Here is a 19,165-nt window from a genome sequence, read left to right as displayed (position 1 = left end):
CATGCAAATGAAAAAGTTCCAAAGAGAAATTATATATTATACAATATTTTAAATAAATTATTTTAACTCTGTATTTCCCAAAGAACCATTTAGTATAGCATGAACGCTACTTATTACTGTACTTCTTAAAATTATGTTCCTAAAATCATCATGTGTAGCTCTTTATCTCCCTGGCCCCTTTTCCCAAGGTCTCCCTGATGACTTCCTTTATAATGTAAATCAATATGGTTTTACTATGTTTATTTCTTTGCGTCGCTCTGTTCATTATCCCAGACTTGATGGATGCCTGAACCACAAATGGTTTTTATACCTTAGAAATGGGAATAGAGGGAGGGGGAGTTTCTGTGAATATTCATATTAATATTTTTAGTCCCTACAATATCAGAAAACAACAGTGCCAATTATCAATTTGTTGACTCTTATCTCCAAATTCAACTTTTTTGTTAGCTCTCTGAAAATGTATCTGGACCCTTTAAATATTTTTTCTTTGCCTCCTGGCATGATATTAAGCTTTGCAAGTGGGAGGGACTGGAGAGACATTGCAGGAAAAAAGGGTTAGGTTTTGCTTCCTGCTTCTTGTGTGCTTGCTTAGCCAGTTCCTGCAGTGTGGGTGGCTTCTCCAGCGTCCAGTTCCTGTAGTCTATGTGGCTTTCTCCAGCAGCAAGCTATTACAGTGCACTGCAGCCAGCAGTGTTCAGTGGCCAGCAACTCTGCTGGCACCTCCTCAGGCAGTTTTGTGTAGAGTGCCTCAAGTGACACCTCTTATGAACAGCTTTCCCTGGCACCCTAGGGGGAACATTTCCAGCAAGTTCCATTGGCGCCACAGCAACTTCTCCACCATTGAGTGACCCACACCCATGATTGCCTTCTCCAGTAACGCCTTGATCTCAGCCTTGCATGCTCTCTGTCAGGTCTAACAGTGGTGGCTCCTTCATATATCTGCTATTTCTATGTTCTTTAGAATTATTTTTACTTCTTATTAGGTAATCCTCTGTTACTTCAATACTGATACAGTTCATAATTATTTATATCAAACTTTACCTGTCCATATTACTATGTGGTTTCTCCCTTCAGACTGGACTCAGACTGATTCAATCATAACTAATGAAATATGAGAATTACTTCATAAGAAGTTATAATTTCCAAAGAGCCAATTGCTCTTATGTATGAGCATTCAGTTTCACACAGGAAATGACTCAAACACATCTGACCAATTCTCTAACCAAATAATTTAGAAACAGCACAGAATGGATTTTATAACTAGATAGTTTAATTTTCTGAATCCAAACAACCCTTTTGCAATACTAGTAACGGAAACAAAAATTTCTATCTCCTATAAAAGACAATATTACTGAACTTCTTGTTTTTTTAAAAATTGTGTTTAATTTTTTTTAAGTTCCAGGATACACTTGTGGGATGTGCAGGTTTGTTACACAGGTAAAATGTGTGCCATGGTGGTTTGTTGCACCTGTCAACCCATCACCTAGGTATTAAGCCCAGCATGCATTAGCTATTTATCTGGATGCTCTCCCTCCCCTGCCCCCCTGTTACTGAACTTCTATACCTGCTCCTGTTCAAAACATGCAGGTTACCACTGATAAAGGTAAAATAAAACTATAGAGGATACTGAATTCTCAAAACATGATTAGTGGAAAAGGAACCAACTTTTACTAAATATACCATATGTGCCAGGCACTATCTGCAGTGTTGTACACAAATTACTCATTTAAGGATTCCTTATTTTTACGAGACATATTAATGTTCCCTTTAGAATCCCAAAGCAAGCATTGAGTATCTTATAAAGAATCACTGTATTGTGACTTTGAGGACAGAAATCCCTTAGGGAGCTCTGACTTGACCAACGTAGCCAATTCTTTAAAATGACACTTTTCTTTTTATAAAATCTGCCTATTTGCGTGCAATACAAGTGTTTAGAATCTTATGATCTAGGTAAAATATGGAGCTTAAAAAAAGCAGGAAGAGTTTTTTTTTATGTTTTTTTTTTTAAGAAACCACCAGAACCCACATTTGTAAATGAATTTTTTTTCCCCTCTTGGGAGGTGTATTCAAATTCCAGTTATGCTGCACTTCCTCACTAAGTCTTGGAATGTCTTCAGTTGTAAGCCCTTCTGAGCATACTATTGACATATTAAACAGATTGACATATTGAGTAGCTAGCTAGCTAGCTAGCTAGATAGATGGAAAACTAGCTAGATATAGATAAAGATATTAATATAATTAGAGTGAGATATTACATTTGACCCTAGATAATAGTAATAGCATATCACCATTTCATTCAGTGGGTTTGGCACTACATAACTTTTATCTATTTTCAAAAATGATATTAATGCAAAAGAGCAGAAATTTGCTAGAAGAAATAAATGAGAAAAAAATTGAAGAAAAAAATTCATATTGTACTCTCTGGGCCATTTCATAGGAAATATTCAAAAATCTTTTGAGCAACAAGGGCAGTATTAGACTGAAATTTCTACCACACTTTAAAAAAAATCAATCACTAAGCCAGATGTGGTGGCTCATGCCTGTAATCCCAGCACTTTAGGAGGCCAAGGCAGGCAGATCACGAGGTCAAGAGATCGAGACCATCCTGGCCAACACGGTGAAACCCCGTCTCTACTAAAAATACAAAAATTAGCTGGGCATGGTGGTGCTTGCCTGTAGTCCCAGCTACTTGGGAGGCTGAGGCAGGAGAATCACTTGAACCTGGGAGACGGAGGTTGCAGTGAGCCAATACCGTGCCACCGCCCTCCAACCTGGCAACAGAGAGAAAAAAAAAATCAATTACTAACATAAATTTACAATTGCTATATGAACACGTCACTTTTTGTGTCCATCACAAATTGACCCCACATTGTTATTATTATTACCCTCCAGCATAACCTCTCTGAGCCTATCAAGTTAGATTTCTTACAGTTTCCCTCTATGCATAAAAATTTCCTCCAGTCCAAAACCATGCAGTATTTCACAGCAAAGTCTCACAACCTCTAATAAATCATCTCTGAGTAAGCCCCTATGTTAATCTTCTCTCTTTTATTTTAGCTTCCCTCACACATCATGCTTTTAATCTGTACACACTGGCAAACATTGTTTACATATTACCTTAGACTTGTTTTCTAGTCATTGTATGTATTTTTGCTTTATGTCTCCAATGGATCTAGTAGCCATTGCACTTATTTATCTGTTCAATATCATCTATTTTATATACCCATTCTCCAGTGGATCTACTCACCATTTATTTACCCATCTATTACATAAGAAACAGACATGGCATGTAGCGAATATAAAGGTTAAGGATGGACTCTGAATGGAGGTGACATTTTAGAGGGTCACTTGGAAAACAAGAAGAGGAAAACAAGAAAAGGACCACCTTAAAGGGTGGAGGGAAGAGACTTCCCGGACAAAAACAACTGCATAGCATGAGTCCCATGTGAAGAAAGCCTGGAATGTTCAAGGAACTGCAAAAAGGCCAGGGTGGTTGAAGAGTGATGAGTAAGGAGAATGACCTAAAATGAGGTTGGAAAAAAGGGCAGAGCCAGCTCACACAGGGCCCCGTTGGCCACTGTCTGGAGCTGGATTTCAGTCTGAAGATAATCAGAAGCTGCTGGAGATTTTCATCCAGGGAGTGACAAGAATTGATATACACTCCAGCTACTCTGACAAATTGGTTGAAAGGGACAAAATAGAAGCAGAGAGAGCAGTTAGATGGCACTAAGCAAGTCTATTGTGTGGAATAGGGCGATAGTGATGGAATGGACTAGAAAAGAGGCATATTGGTGGCAGATTTGTTGATAGACAAGATATGAGGAAATCAAACAAAAGGAGAAATTGAGGATAAGTCTTATAAAAGTACTGACCTCCCCTTCAGATCTCCGTGAATTTAATATACACAATTAAGTTACGTTAAGTACCTGTTGGGGAAGCCAAGTGAGGGCAACAAGGGAAGGACAGCAATGCTTTCCCTAACAAAGCAAAGAATGGTACATGAGACCCTGGCGGACACAGCAAGGACTTCAGTAACATTAGTCACCATCTGAGTGACCACAGAAGATCACTTAACCTCTTATGTCTGTTTCCTTCTCTGTGGGCCAGGACAGCAACATCAAGGGTTTGCGCTCTGGAATCAGACTGCCTAGGTTTTTATTCCAGCTCTTTTGCTTACTCTTAGACAAATTGCTTATCTTCATCCCAGTCTGTAAAATGTGAATAATAACAAGACCTGTGTCTTGTGTTTATAGTGCAGGTTAAATGAAATAATATGAATAATGCATTTAGAACAGTGCCTGGTGCATAGTAAGCAATAAATGTATATCACTAGCTGCTGTGAAATGGATTGTTGGGGGGATTAAATGAGAAAATGTTTGCATAGTAGATAAAAAAATTATAGCTTGCAAAAAACTAAACTGCCTTTGTTTTAGAGAGAGAGAGAAAGAGAGAGACAGAAAGAGAAACTGTCTTTGCTTTAGAAACCCCTAATGGGTGGATTTATTTTTTAAGATGAGACCTTGTTGTGACTCTACTGGGAATGAATCAAGGAAATAGCTTAACTGTTTTGCACAAAACAGGATCATTTAGAAAGAGCTAGAAAGGAAGCAAGAAAATGTTGAAGAAAGACAAAGTCCTTGGAACAGGCAGGAGGCTGGAACCCAAGTAGAAGAAATTACTAGTGGAAATTCCACCATCATTGTCCTAAAACACTAGTAAACCTGCTACTTACTTGGGTTGGTGTTATCTGGCATGAGTAGTCAGGGCTCTCTGGTAGGGCAATGTGGAAATGATGAAGGCAGAGCATGCATACACACAAAAAAGTGGACTCAGAGATTTCTCAATAACAAATGTTGAACACATGTTACAGTTACTGGCACAGAGGAAGCATTCAATAAATATTAATTTCGTTTTCTGATTTGTGATATAAAATGTAATCTCTGACCTTGGAGAGTTAACAAATTGGTTGAGAGTCCAATGATTATAGGCATAAAACTATTAGAAGAAATATAAGCATACAACAACAACATGGTATACAAATTATAGGCACTGTAGAGTTTATAAAAGTCAGGGATCAATCAGAGAAGTTCTGGATTATTTTAGAAAAGATTCTGAATTAGAATAAATAAATAATTCAAATAATGTCTTACATATATGAGGTGTTAGATCCATATTTAATATAATTTAAAGACAGGAAAAGAGTAAGAAGTTTTTTCCAAAAAGAGATAAAGATCAAGAAAGAAGAAGAAAGCCTAATACATTTTGCTTGTGTACTAGAATGCTATACTGTATCTGGGTTTGATTGATAACTAATATGAAGTTATTCTTGAGCAGGGAAATGGCATGTTTTAGAAAAGATGACCTACAAGGAGTTAATGGGCTAAATCAAAGATTGAAGAAAAAAAGTGGAAGGAAAAAGATCAAGGAAAAAGCTGGTTGCAGTCATTCTGGCTGAGGTTAACAAAAATCTGGATTTGGTCATTGGCAGTGGGAGGGGGAATGGGAGGAATGAGTGGCTCTGGATGATGTTCAAATAAAATCATGAGCTAGGGAAAGCAGGCTAGCATGACATTGATGGCAATAAATAAAATAAATATGAAAGTATAGCACAGTTGGTGATAGAAACAAATGCAAGTAATTTATTCGCATCACCTTATTTTTGCCCTAAATATGACTCATAGTTCTGCTTGGTCATCAACTAGTGCCACATGTAGTCATATTCCTGGCATACGGAATAACTATTTTATTGTACCCAAAAATTTGCTCACTGGGCTCCAGCTGTTTCATAGTCTATCCACACTGAGCCATGGCAGATACAATTCTCTTGTCCTGAGGAAAATGTTTAAAGCAAGTCAGAATCTCTTTTGAATAGGAATAGAGCAAACCTTTTAACTTCCCAGAGATTCTGGTTTCCTAGAAGAGTGAACATAATGAGTCTTGAGTACTTACTATGCTCATTTCCACTCTGTCAATGAGGGCAAACTAGTGGTATGACCTAGGTGCTATTTTGGTCTCTGTTTTGAACTGAATTTTTTTTATGAACTCCAAATTTGTATATTGAAGTCTTAACTCCCACTGTGATGGTATTTGGAGATGGGTCCTTTGAGAGTTAATTAGGTTTAGATGAGGTAATGAGGTGTGGCCCTTTTGATGGGATTAGTGCCCTTGCAGAAGAAGAAACCAGAGAGCTCCTCCCACTCCCCCACCCCTCTACCTTGTGATTATATAGTAGGAAGGTGGCTGTCTGCAGGCCAGGAAGAGAGCCCTCACCAGAACCTGACCATGCTGACACCCTGATCTCAGACTTACAGCCTCCAGAACTGTGAGGAGAAAATTAATTTCTGTTGTTCAGGCCACCCAGTCTTTGGCATTTTGCATGGCAGCCTGAGCTAATACAGCCTCTCAATAGCTAAATGAGGAGCCCAAAAGGTTACCAATTTAGAAAGGCCAGGGAAATGTGTTACTGAGAATGTTGCATAACGAGAATGTCCATTATGTTGTTTTTTCCATTTCTACTCTGCTATAGTCTGTGGCCTGAGATAACAACTTTATCAGACTTTAAGATTATCCTGGACCAGCTCTGTCCAATAAAACTATAGTGAGATACACACAACTAATTTAAAAATTTTTAATAGCTACATTTTAAAAAGTCACAAGAAGTAGGTAAAATTAAATTTAATAACTCAATTCAATATAGTCAAAATATTATAGACATGCTACCAATATAAAATTATTAATAAGATAGTTCAAATTTTTTTCCTACTAAGTCTTTAAAAATTGTTGTGATGTGCTATTTTACTCTTATAGCACATCTCAATTTGGACATGCCACATTTCAAGTGCTCAATAGATACATGTGGCTAGTGGCTACTGTACCAGATAGTGTTCTAGACATTTCATTTTTTTAAGAAAGACATAGACACAGTTTGTTTAAATATGAAGTCCCAGTTTTCTTCTTGAGGGTTATTACCTGGCTTTAAAGTCCCTTATTTTTCTCTTAACTCTTTGAAGTCTTCTCTTTCTGGTTGCGCCCATCTTTGTATCATAAAACAATTAATTATAAGACCACGTAATGGACACTGTGGTCCTGCTATGGTTTGAAAGTGTGTGTCCCCTAAAGATTCACATGTTGGAACCTAAGACCCAATGTGATAGTATTAAGAAGGGTCTGTAGGAGGTTATCAGACTATGAGGGCTCTGTCCTCATGTGTGGAATTAGTGCCCTTATAAAAAGGCTTACGGGAGTCAGCTATTAGGCTCCTTTCGCCCTTCCACTCTTTGTCATATGAAGACACAGCAAGAAGGCCCTCACCAGACACCCAAATGCCAGTGCTTTAATCTTGGACTTTGCATCCTTTGGAACTGTGAGAAATAAATTGCTATTGTTTATAAATTACCCAGTCTTAGGTATTTTGTTATAGCAGAGGAATGGACCAAAACAGATTCTTTGTGAAGATTCCCTCTTCAGGGCCAAGGTACTCACCTTCCTGGGGCTATGAATATGGCTGCTGACAGCTCACAGCTGCCTCTCTTAACGAGTATTGTCCTAGGCTGTGGGGAACTATTTCCTCTCAGGCTATGCCCTCTGGAGGGTAGCCTGAAGCCAAATAATGACTGATGAGGGGCATAAGTCTGTTTCATTTACTCCACTTGAGACAACTCTGAAGGGACAGTCCAAATCCTGAAGTCTCTGAAGGGCTGGCTGAGGCCTCCTTTGACACTGTACTGCAGTTCAGCATTTCACTCTGCCCCATGCTGTTTCCTTCACTTTCCTACAGGTGTCTCTTGTAAGAGCAACTCCCCCTTACTCCTTCCAAAAAAATAAGCTGACTCTGTTTGCATCTCTTCATCTCAAAATCTGTTTCCAGGGAACTCAGTTTAAAAGAGAATATAAAGTAGTCTCTTTTTTACCAAGGCAAAATCATTAGCAGTGTTTGAAGTAAGGGAGGAAAAGCAGAACAAGGCTCTGATTCATTTTTGTGTCTTATACTTCCCCACATGCGAGCAAGGCTAGGACGTACTCTGACCCTCTGGCTCTTCATGTCTGTTCACTCCCATTGCCTTTCTTTTCCTATATTTTTCCCAAAGATCAAAGTGACAACTGAGTAAAGGGTATAGTCAAAACTCAGGTTCAGCAACTGCATTGGTCAAAACATGAGAAACATAACCCCAAATGAAAAAGATATCAATGGCACAATATGGTAGCCCATACATGTATTGACACCATTAGAATACTGTCTTGTCTTTACTTTTCCTGACTCTCCAGGGCTGATCTGCATGGGTAGAGATGCTGAGCAGTTCTGCCATTGACATTAGTAGCTTCATCTTCTAATGCAATCATTGCCTTCATTTTCTTTCTTCTTCCTCAGGGAAATTCCACCCTTCTAGGCTTTATATTTATGACCCCATGCTGGTGTCTGTGGGTCTCTGCTTTCCCAGAACACTCTCTTCACTGCCTTAGACTGGTAGTCTAGTCCAGACTAGTAGTCTTTTAACGCTTTAAAAGATGGGGTGTGGGGAGATCAAATACTCTTTGTCTTAAAACTTGGGCTTGTCTGCTACACAAAGTCCTGCCCATGGTAGTGGCAGTCACATAATAGGACAGTAAATTAATGCCTGAACAGATTGTGCAGTTCCACAGAGTCCACCTTCCCCGGCTTTCCTTTCTCCTGCCTACTGCTTCCTCCATCCTTCTTCACAACTCCCTCCCCTGTGACGCTTTCTTCCAGAGGATGAGTCTGGAGGAGGAGGCAGCATGAAAGGGAGAACTTGCTGCATCAGAGTTTGTGCCAATTGGAGGGAAAGCGCAATCCCTCAGCAGCCTGATGGTCCAGATGGCCCCAAAGGCTTTGCAGAGCTCAGAGGCCCCCAGACAACTCCTTGTCTACATCAGCTTAGCATTGCCACTAAAATTGATGTTATACCAAGTCATCCCCCAAAAGCATGGTAAATCACTTGTTATAAAAAAAGAGTCCCACAGTTTTGGCACATGAACCTCACAAGGATTTTTCGAGATTTCTAGCATTTCCAGAATTTAATCAAATGATTGTTCTTATAATTAATTATAGTATTCTAGTACTATTATATATTTTTATAAAAATTACAATTGCTGAAAAGAATCACAGTGGAACACAGTATTATTAGATAATGCATTCATTCAAATTTCACTAATTAAAATGTCAAAAGGAAGTAGACATGGAGTTCAACTAATTCTCAATTTACTAATCCATAAAACAGATACTTCTCATAAATAGCTGGTAATCTTTCCTCAGTTCTCAGGAAAAATAACTGAATAGCTGCAGTAAACTCTCCTATTACTAATTCTCCACATTACAATTTTTTTAAAACCTACAATTTATCTTGAAAGGCACCCTGAAGCAGTAGCACAAGGATTAAATGCCCATTTTTAGATAACAATAGTTAACGTCTAATTGTTTAATAAAAAAAAGGAGCTTGACCCTTTCCTGGTAACACCTGGAAGTGCTCCCTCTTGGTGTTGTCTAGCCTGGGCCATGGAGGGCCGCAGGACAGCTCCGTATCCTCTCTGTCATTCATTCATTAATTCATTCAGGCAACGATATTGATTAAATACTTATTTTATGCCAAGCATTGTTCCTCAGCTCTTGGGATATATGAGCAAAACAAACAAAAGTACTTGCCCTCATGGAGCTCCATGCAGGGAAAAGAGGCAATAAGCAATAAAAATAATAAATGTTTTAAGATGTTGGATGGTGGTAAGATCTATGGGGGGGAAGAAAGTAAGATCAGAAAAATGGGAAGCTAAGGGGAGCTGATTTTAAATGGGGAATTGGGCCTAATTTAGAAGGTAACATTTGAGCAAGGACTTAGCCCATTTTGGTAATGTCTTTATTATTTTTTCATCCATAAATCTTATGTTCCTATCATTCTCTTTTTCTTTCCCAGTGCCTTCTACCAGACACATAAGAAACATTATGTATGCATGGGCTTAAAACTACACAGACCTTGAGTCAGGGCCAGTTAATTTTTTCATGATAGCATCTGATTTATATCTGGAAAACCTGAGGCCTGGCCTTACACATTGTAACAGTATGATATGACGATATGATGTAAGATATGCTACACAAATTTCTGTCTTCTCCTTTCCTAGTCTCTTTACTGCCTTAAAATCTACTTCCTGAAATAGTTACATAACTTTCCCATCAGCCAGCCATGCTGCCTAAATTCACCACCGTTAAGATATTCATTACTTTAGATTAAAGCATGGCATTTTTAGTGATTCTCTTTTAAAATTCAAACTTGCCATGGGAATAAGACTTTAAAAAAAATCATTCAAGCTCATGAAAGAAAAAGGCTGCATTTGTGGCATGGCTCCCTCTGATGGGCCAGCGGCCAAACTAGAGGACACGGAGTCCAGGAAGTCCACAGCGGAGACCAGGCAAGGACTGGAAGGTCCTATACTTGACCCTGATATTTTTTACTTACACAAAGAAATATGTTCTATAACTTTCTTGATTAGCTGGCCCTCTCACCTAATTTTATTTTCTCACTGGGATACCATATTTTTTACCTCTGATGGAATAGCACACCAAGGAAGGGGTATGGTAGGAGTAGAGTCATCTGCCTCAGCAGGAAAAAATGTTCTATCTTGAAAATAGTTTAGATTTTCTGGACATGGTGATAATAAAGAGAAGACCAACTTTTAGTGAGAATTACTACTATTTACAAATATACCGTAGACATTGCACCGCTTTTTTTATCTGCTTCCAGGGCAGACCATGGCACCAAGCCCCACCTTGGTACTCATGGCTCTGAGACATGTATTTCCAGAGTTTTCACTATGTACACAGCTACATAAACATTTCCTTCTTCCCCTCCACAAAAATAAAGTCGTATTATATATACTAAGCAACAGAATGTAGACATTTTCCATGTCAACCAATTTAGACCTGCACCATTCATTTTTATGTGTTACATAATTTATTTATCTAATTTTGTCTGGATGAATTCTTAAATAGTTTTAATTTCTGGATATTGTAAACAAAGTTTCAAAAAGTATTCTTGAACTTGCATCTTTGTACATTTATCCAATGTTAACCTTAAAGTACATTCCTAGAGTTAGATTTGCTATACCAAAAAATATGCATAATTTTGACATTTACTCGTAAACTTCCCTCCAGAAAGTTTTCAGTCCTTCTTCTACCACCAGCTGATTATGAAAGTGCCAACTTCTCTACAGCCTTGCTACCAGTGTGGTTCTCCAATCTTTTTAATCTCTGATAATCCAAATTAAAATGATCCTATTTTGATATTTTATTTTGCATTTCTTTGATTCCTGGTAATATTTAACATTTTTATTTTTATATTTTCACCTTTTGTGAATGTGTGGGTTTGCCTGCATGAACTGCCTGCTTTGGTCCTTTACCCATTTTTTTTTTTTTTTGAACTGCACTGTGGACCAAATGTTCCTAAAAAGGGAAAAAGACGCCAAGCACAAATTCCATCTATAGTATGAGACTACTTAGGAATAGACCTAATATCCATCACATGAGTTTGTAGACTTATTTTTGAACTTCTGAAATGATATTTAAAAATCATATGGCTTCTGTATTTCTATGAATGTAAGCATTTCCCTTCCTACAATGTGTTCTCAACACCATTTGTTGATGACATGGCAGGGACTGTTAAGTGTACCTCCAATTCTTATTCTGGTCTTCACAGGGCAGATCTCTTCACTACCTGCTTTGGGAGATGAGGACATGGGCTTTCCTGCCCTCTGTCTACCTTACCTACCTTTCTTCACTCTCTTTCACTTCCCGACTTTGGTTACATGTACATTTACCTTTATACTTGTCAAGGTTGACAATTTCTCTGACTATAAAGGTCTCAGTGACTTCTAAAAATTTTAAATCAATAAACAGTTTAAATTGCTATGGCTACCTAAGCATTGCTCTTGAGCTAACTGGTTTGGTAGGATCACATTTCTTTCTCTGTGGCACCAATTCCCGTGCTGTTCAGCGGAGAACGTACATAGAGATTCTGCTTTTACAGTCCATCTAGTATCTCCAAACATTATTGTGACTACCAGAACTCTTGGTTCCAAATGGTATGAAAAACAACCCAAACTTGGAAAAAAATTACTTACTCAAGAAAATAGATCTGACTTCAGAAGTGGCTGGAGATAGGAAGTCACACAATGTTTGTTGTTAGCATCTGGTCTGGTCATTTGCTCTCTGAGTGATGGCTCTAGTACTTTACTTCTTTATTTTGCTGAAATACACCCTTGAGTTCCTTTCTACAAAAGAATGCTTGGAGTATAAACTCTGAATTATGACACATCTGAAAATCTTTTATTTGGTCTTCATATTTGGCAGTGTCTTAGCTAAGCAGATTCTAGTTTGATTAGCATTTTATTTCAGAACTCTGAAAAACAGATCCATTGTTTTGCAGCATCTGATTGGCAATGACAAGTGTGTGGTCAGTCCAATTCTTGCTTCTTTCACATGATACTTTTTTTTTCCTAAGGAAGAATATAAAATTTATCTTTATAATCAATATTATAGAATTTCACAATTATGTGTTTAGGTAAAAGTCTTTTCTCATATTTTGTGCTGGACATTTTGTGGGCCCTGAAAAATGTATTTTCTTTTACAGTTTGGGGAAATTCCCTTGCATTCATTCTGTAAGAACCTCTTCCCCTCTGCCTTCTCTGCCCTTTATTCCTCAAACTTCCTGAGTTTATATGTTATGTCTCTTAACTTTCCATTATATTATCCAACTTTGCCTTTCTGTTCTGAGAGGCTTCCTCAATTTTATTTCACAAAACCTATTTTGATTTAAATAAATTTTGGTGATCATATTTTCAATACATTAGAGCATATTCATCAAGGTTCTTCAGAGAAAAGAACTAATGGGAGATAGACAGGTAGGTAGGTAGATAGATAGATAGATAGATAGATAGATGATAGATAGATAGATGTTAGATAGGTAGATAAGAGGAGACTTATTATGGGTTGGCTTATGCAATTATAGAGGTTAAAAATGGGGAAGGGCCCTGGTGTAAGTTTCAGAGTCAGAAGGTCTGAGAACCAGGATCCTAGGGCAGGACAAGACAGATGTTCCAGCTCAAGAAGAGAGAGAGAATCATCTTTCCTTTGCCCATTTGTTCTATCTAGACCTTCAATAGATTGGGTGATTTCCACCCACATTGATAAGGACTGATCTTCTTTGCTCAATACTGATTCAAATGCTAATTTCTTCGAGGAACACCCTCAAAGATAAACTCAGAAATAATGTTTTACCCACTATCTGGGCATTCCTTATCCCAGCAAGTTGACACATAAACTTATCTATCACAGAAAGTTTTTTTGAATGTTACATTTTTTAAACTTGGTCTCCAAATTGTGGCAGTATCTTGTTGAATCTCACTGAGAATGCTAATTCAAAGTTTTTAAAAGGCTTCTGTTCCCAGAATTATCTCTATGGTCATTTTCAAAATTTATTCATCTTGCTTAAAAAATTGTTTTTTCTTTCATGTTTTGGGGTTTTGATTCTTTTTCTTTTTTCTTTTTTAAAAATATTATTCTTGTCTACTGATTCTTATTTTTGTTGCAGATTAAGAATGAGGTGAGACTGGAGAGATCCCGGTATACAGTTGGTGGGTTTAAGGATAAAGGTCAGAAAGCCATTAAACTGGAGGACTGGATTGACTTTGATGCACTGACTCCCATACATGCTCCTAGGATAAATGCTTAGTTGCAGATTTTTTTTTTTTTTTTTTTTTTTTTTTTGCACCCAGAGGTGAAGAGTCCATGTATGGATTTCCAACCAGTTCTCTTTTTTCAGCCCCATCTCCCTTTCTTACCCTCAGTGGTAAATGCCATCTCAAATATGGAACTGTTTCATGCTTCTGCCAGGCAAAATGATTCCTTTCTAGGTATGGTCCAGGCGGCTGCTATTTCTATTCTGCTTTATCCATTGATGATACTTCTTCAGTCTCTTCATTGTCATGTGAGAATCCTTTTCCTCCTTTACAATCAGCTTAATGGAGTTTCCAAAGGCAAAGAGATCAGTGTATATGTTCAGTATGGCATCTTAAACTGGAAATCTCTCCATCTGTTTTATAAAGAATTGGGGATATAACTCAAGGCATTTATCTGCTGCCCTTAATTATTGCCATAATTTGAGGTGAATTAAGTTCCCAGATGAACATCCCAAAGGATATCTTAGCCTCTCACTGCTTTGCCAACTATATCTCTAAGGACCTTCACTTCTTTCTTCTATCTCAGCTACTTACTTCTGTGACCATACCTTAGGCCTCGTTGTAACTTGAACTGAAATCTTAAATACAACCTGCTGCTATCTGGTAAAAACCTCTTTTATTTCCCACCTTATTACTAGTTACTACTAGGACTCATACTTTGAACTCATCAAAATGTCCAGTTTTTTAGCCCATGTATTTTTTCCTTCCATCTTCAACTCCTCCTAGTTCCAGCTGGATCACACATGCCAATCACTGTGCCAATATATACCCTCCTCTGAGAGCCCTAAACATAGGTTAAATTGTGTTATAATGTAAGACTATCTGGGTTTATCCCATCCCTACCACTCAAAAGTTATGGGACTTTGGGGAAGTTATTTAGATTTTGTGTGCATCCATGTCCTCATCTGTAAAATGAGGATAATAATAGTACGAATGTTCTGGGGATAAAAGGAGATAGCACGTGCAAGTGCTGAGAAAAAAACGTCATGATCAATAAGAGTATTCAATAGACATGAACTAGTAGTAGTAATATTCTCTAATCTAAAAATGCTAGTGAAAAAACAATATGTGTTAACAAGTTATGTTAGTCTATAGGTGCTTACACATTCTATTTATACTATTTAAACAGTCTTCTTGTTGGTTAACCACTTCTAAAAAGATGTAGTATTTCCCTATTTAAATGACAATGAAGCACTGATTTATCTTCTGAGTCTTTGTGTCCTCAGCACTCAAAGAAATGGGTTGTGTCTCTGTTCTGTTTCTTTTCTAACCCCATTTTGATAGTTAACCCTTTGGGTCTCCAAGGAGCACTTGCCCTAATTATGATAGGATAATGAAACACTGACATCTAATTATAACATTTATGAAGGTAGTAGATGCCAATTACAAACTAGGAGGCATGTGGCTTTATATTCTTCCTTATGTAACAATTGTGGTTTTAGAAAAGAGATCAGATTCAAAAAATAGTTTGAGCTATATCATTTCCCACTGATGCTATATTATGCCACTTCTTCCAGATCTATAACTATGTGATAGTTATTTTGAGCTTTGAAGACCTCAGGACTCTTTCTAGCTTGGAACTCAAAAATCTCTTTGACGATGGGTATTTTGTTGAATCCTTTCATTTAAGCAAGTCCCTGGAGGAAGAGCTTTTAACCCAGGCACTATATAAATAATCATCGGATTAATAGACCCCGATTAAAAAAAAACTGTAAACAAATTAATATTTTGAACACAGTCCTTGTAGAGTGAAATTGTGTTCTTTTGAGATATGTGTAACAAAGTACTTTGAGGATGTGAACATCATTAATATTTTAGCCTTAATTATTTTACCCTCACAACCTTAAGTGTCCCCCAACAGCAAATCAGTGAAATGTCAATTATAATTTTAAAAAAAATTTATCACTTTGGAATAAAACTTTAGGAAGTATCACAAAGAAGCAATGTAAGGTGGTAACACTGGGTCCTGTTAAAATCTTGGGCAAGTTATCCAGTTTTTCTAGGCTGTTTCCTAATCATCAAAATGAGTTTTGGTATGGATCAGATGAAATAATGCATTAAAATCACTTTGTAGATAACAGTAAACAATAAATGTTTATTGAATCTGAGGAATCAAATGGGTAGGATGTTAGGAGCTGTTAGGCTCTCTAGAAGCAAATTTTTACTTTAAAGAGTATAAAATCAGGCTTATGTTTACTGCACTTGTATCCTTATTCCCCTTGTAACTTGTCCTTAAATAATTTGTCATGGCTTTTGGTTAATAAACACATCTCTCTTTCATCTCCCCACCATAAAATAAAAAGATAACATCCTTATGCTCTCAGCATGGTCTTACCTTCAGACTCTAGAAATACATAGCTGGATGTGTTTTCTGGGAAAACATATAAATTAAAATCATTTTTGGCAGGTAAACATTGGCTACTAATAAATAGTTCTAGTAAGCTCTCCTCCTTATAACCTAAGGATTTATGTTATAGCTCACTTATCCAGTGGGCTTACCAGAATGCAGTCATATTCCAAAGTCAGCCTTACAAGGTCCCTCTCTGGAAAGAACTCAGTTGATGAGCCTCTACTCTCCTAATTGCTGCCCTTACATTTTTACATGACAAATCATCATCCTTTCTGGTTTTGCAGCATTTTAATAGACCCAGAGTTGCTTTCTGAGAAAAGTCTCAGTACTAACAAAGGTTAGAACTAACAAAGGTTGAACTAAGGATGACATGCATGTGGTATGTGCCCTTTCCAGTCCTCTTCCCAGGTCCATGAAGAAATCACCAACCAGTGAGAACACTCTTTCTACAGAACACAAACTCAGCTTCAGGCTATTTCTGAACAAGAGCTTTAGGAAGCAAAAGGAAACAAGTATGTAAGAACATTAAGAACATACCTGCCATACTTATACTAGAATGTAAGTTCCTTAAGGGCACAGACTGTGTCTGATTCATTTTTGTTTTCTCAACAAAAATGTTGATGGGGTGTTAACTAATTGTATAAAGTAGGAATAAGAGTCAGTTTCGTAAATGTTTTTTAAAAGTTGACAAAAGTATTTTCATTTTGATTCCAAAATTAAAAAAAGCTAATAAAGATATTACAATATTTTAAAAATCCAAATTTTATGAGAGTTCTTGTCTGGATGAAAATTAGAATACATTCACATTATCTCAAACGAATGAACATGTGTGACTTTATAAAAACAATACCTCCCTAAACCATGAATTCAGATGGAAAAACTCGACATCTTTATTTCTGCAGTCAGTCTCATTTTTCTTAAAACAGTTCAAACTAGTAAGAATTTTCCAGAAGTTACAGCTTGACTCACCCAACCTTCCAAGGAAAAAACAAAAAAACTTAAACAGACATTGTTTCACTCTCATCATTTCCCACCCTTACTAATAGTGGCAACTTAAGTGTATCTTAAAGCACTCCAACCTCTTCATAGAGCCTATTAAATGAGTATCTTGTGGACACCCACACACAGTCATAGAATCCTAAGTGGTGCTCAGACCAGTCACATGTCAGTGCATTCTTAATTGCTAGAGCTAACATGCTCTCAGCATGGTCTTTTAATTACACCCTAATAATTTATTATAGTTTCTCTCTACAATGTAAAGTCTTGGAAATCACCCACTAAAAAGTGCCTGTGTACTCTGGGGCTTTGGCAGGCTAGGGCAGAACTTCTGAGAACACGGTGTGTTCCAGAGAAGACAATCAATCTGAGAGGACTTACACAGAAACAGTTCATTCAGGACCTGGCTGCTGGCTTTTATCTGAGATCTGAGGATTTCACAATCACTTGGAGATACCTACAAGTGTATAGCACACCTTGGATATTACTCTTAATGATTACTTCATTTTGTAAAGAGGTGACTCCACCAACAGCAAAGGAGAGGGCCCAGCCCCAGCCACCAGGAATACAGTTCTCTGCCAGTAAGTGCCTAATGACTCATTTTCCTCAACAGAATTTTCATAAGGCTGGAATTCAGGGAGGGATGTCTGGAGAATGTCTGAAAGGAAGTTCACAAGCCACTGTCCTGCTCTTTGCTGGAGAAAGTGTCCCGTGGTAGCCAGAGAAGTTGACTAAGGCAAACAGCAACATGTTTTGGTAACATTTCCCCATTACCTTTCATGTACAATCCAAGAAAGGTTGCCATGAAGTGTTTTAATCAGGTTGGGAACATTATAAACTTCGAAAAAAGAAAACCATTAGTGGAAAAATTAAGGACACAGTAGATTTAACAACTGTGTTTACGTGGAACCACAAAATCTATCCAAGTGAATTGCATTAAAACAGACAGAACACTCCAAGAAACTGTTGTATGTGTATTTTTTTTAATTCAGTCAACCATTTTACTAATCTGTCAAGATGACCAATTTCTTTGGAATTATGTAGATTTAGCCAAAATGAAATTATACATAAGATTTACTTTTCTTTTCAGATGCTTTTTTATTTATTTTTAAATCTTTATAATTACTAGATGTTCTCCTCTCTCAGAAGATATTCTGAGAGGAAAGCAAAAATACCACTCTTGTAAAGCCATTTCCATTCTTCCAAAGGTCTGCTGGTAAATTATTCTTACTGATCTTTCCATCTTTCTAGCCTGTGCATACACACCTAACCCATACTAAATTTCACCAGATGGCATTTTATTTCTTTAAAGTAAAGCAGCCGTGGGTTTAGACAGTTGAATTTTTAAACTTCTGTATTTACTGAAAGTGCATATGGTGCTATATGGACAAAGAAATTGTGCTGAAAGAAAAACATTTCTGTCTGCAATACCTCATAATCTTCCAGAGGAAAAAAAAGTGCAGTTATATGGCACATTTCTCACAAAATCTTATGTGGCTTCAATGTTCTTCCTCTGTTAAAAAGTAGATATATGTTTAATGTACAGACCTGCAAGTTTCATTATTTTAAATTCATCTTTTAGTGGCAAATAAAAATGTTATGCAAAACCCAATGACTTGCTAAAGTGATCCTTCAGTGAATTCTAGAAGAAAATGCAACATAAACCTGAACTGGTAAAAAAGAAAAAATAAAAACCTCTGTATGTCAACGTAAGCAGATGTTGGTGTAGTTACAAGGATGAGAAGGCTATAAAACTTCCCTTGAGTCACTCACAGTTCATTTGAGGGCCAAGAACGCCCCCAAAATCTGTTTCTAATTTTACAGAAATCTTTTGAAACTTGGCACGGTATTCAAAAGTCCGTGGAAAGAAAAAAACCTTGTCCTGGCTTCAGCTTCCAACTACAAAGACAGACTTGGTCCTTTTCAACGGTTTTCACAGATCCAGTGACCCACGCTCTGAAGACAGAATTAGCTAACTTTCAAAAACATCTGGAAAAATGAAGGTTAGTATAAGCAACCTCAAGTATTCTTAAAAAATTAGGGTTGGCTGGATTGAACGTGATCAGAGTTTTCTATTGT

The 19,165-nt window shown here is 37.3% G+C and overlaps 1 protein-coding gene and 1 long non-coding RNA gene across 8 annotated transcripts in view; one reads left to right on the top strand and one right to left on the bottom strand.

Moving 5' to 3' along the window:
• Nucleotides 1-1,254: 1,254 nt before the first annotated feature.
• On the bottom strand, nt 1,255-16,294 carry LOC105373724 (uncharacterized). 2 transcript variants are annotated; one of them, XR_923544.3, is made up of 4 exons: nt 16,240-16,294; nt 13,843-14,093; nt 12,124-12,498; nt 1,255-2,771 (listed from the first exon to the last, which is right to left on the bottom strand). It is a non-coding gene; the product is annotated as an uncharacterized LOC105373724 (long non-coding RNA). The 2 variants fall into 2 exon arrangements; XR_007087276.1 differs by lacking the exon at nt 1,255-2,771 and adding an exon at nt 16,076-16,111 and having other exon boundaries at nt 12,307-12,498.
• The window catches only part of FAP (fibroblast activation protein alpha), a 72,762-nt gene continuing 72,562 nt past the window's right edge, over nt 18,966-19,165 (top strand). For all 6 annotated transcript variants that reach the window (XR_001738668.3, XR_922891.3, NM_001291807.3 and 3 more), the window contains exon 1: nt 18,966-19,089. Coding sequence is in view for 4 of the 6 variants with exons in the window: in NM_001291807.3 (NP_001278736.1) it covers nt 19,084-19,089 (6 nt within the window). In the remaining 2 variants the exon portion in view is untranslated. The remainder of the gene's footprint in view (nt 19,090-19,165) is intronic.

This window comes from Homo sapiens, chromosome 2, assembly GCF_000001405.40.
Source record: "Homo sapiens chromosome 2, GRCh38.p14 Primary Assembly".
Classification (NCBI taxonomy): domain Eukaryota; kingdom Metazoa; phylum Chordata; class Mammalia; order Primates; family Hominidae; genus Homo; species Homo sapiens.
The sequence above is the reverse complement of the archived record's forward strand: the minus strand, read 5'-3'. Positions and strand labels throughout refer to the sequence as shown.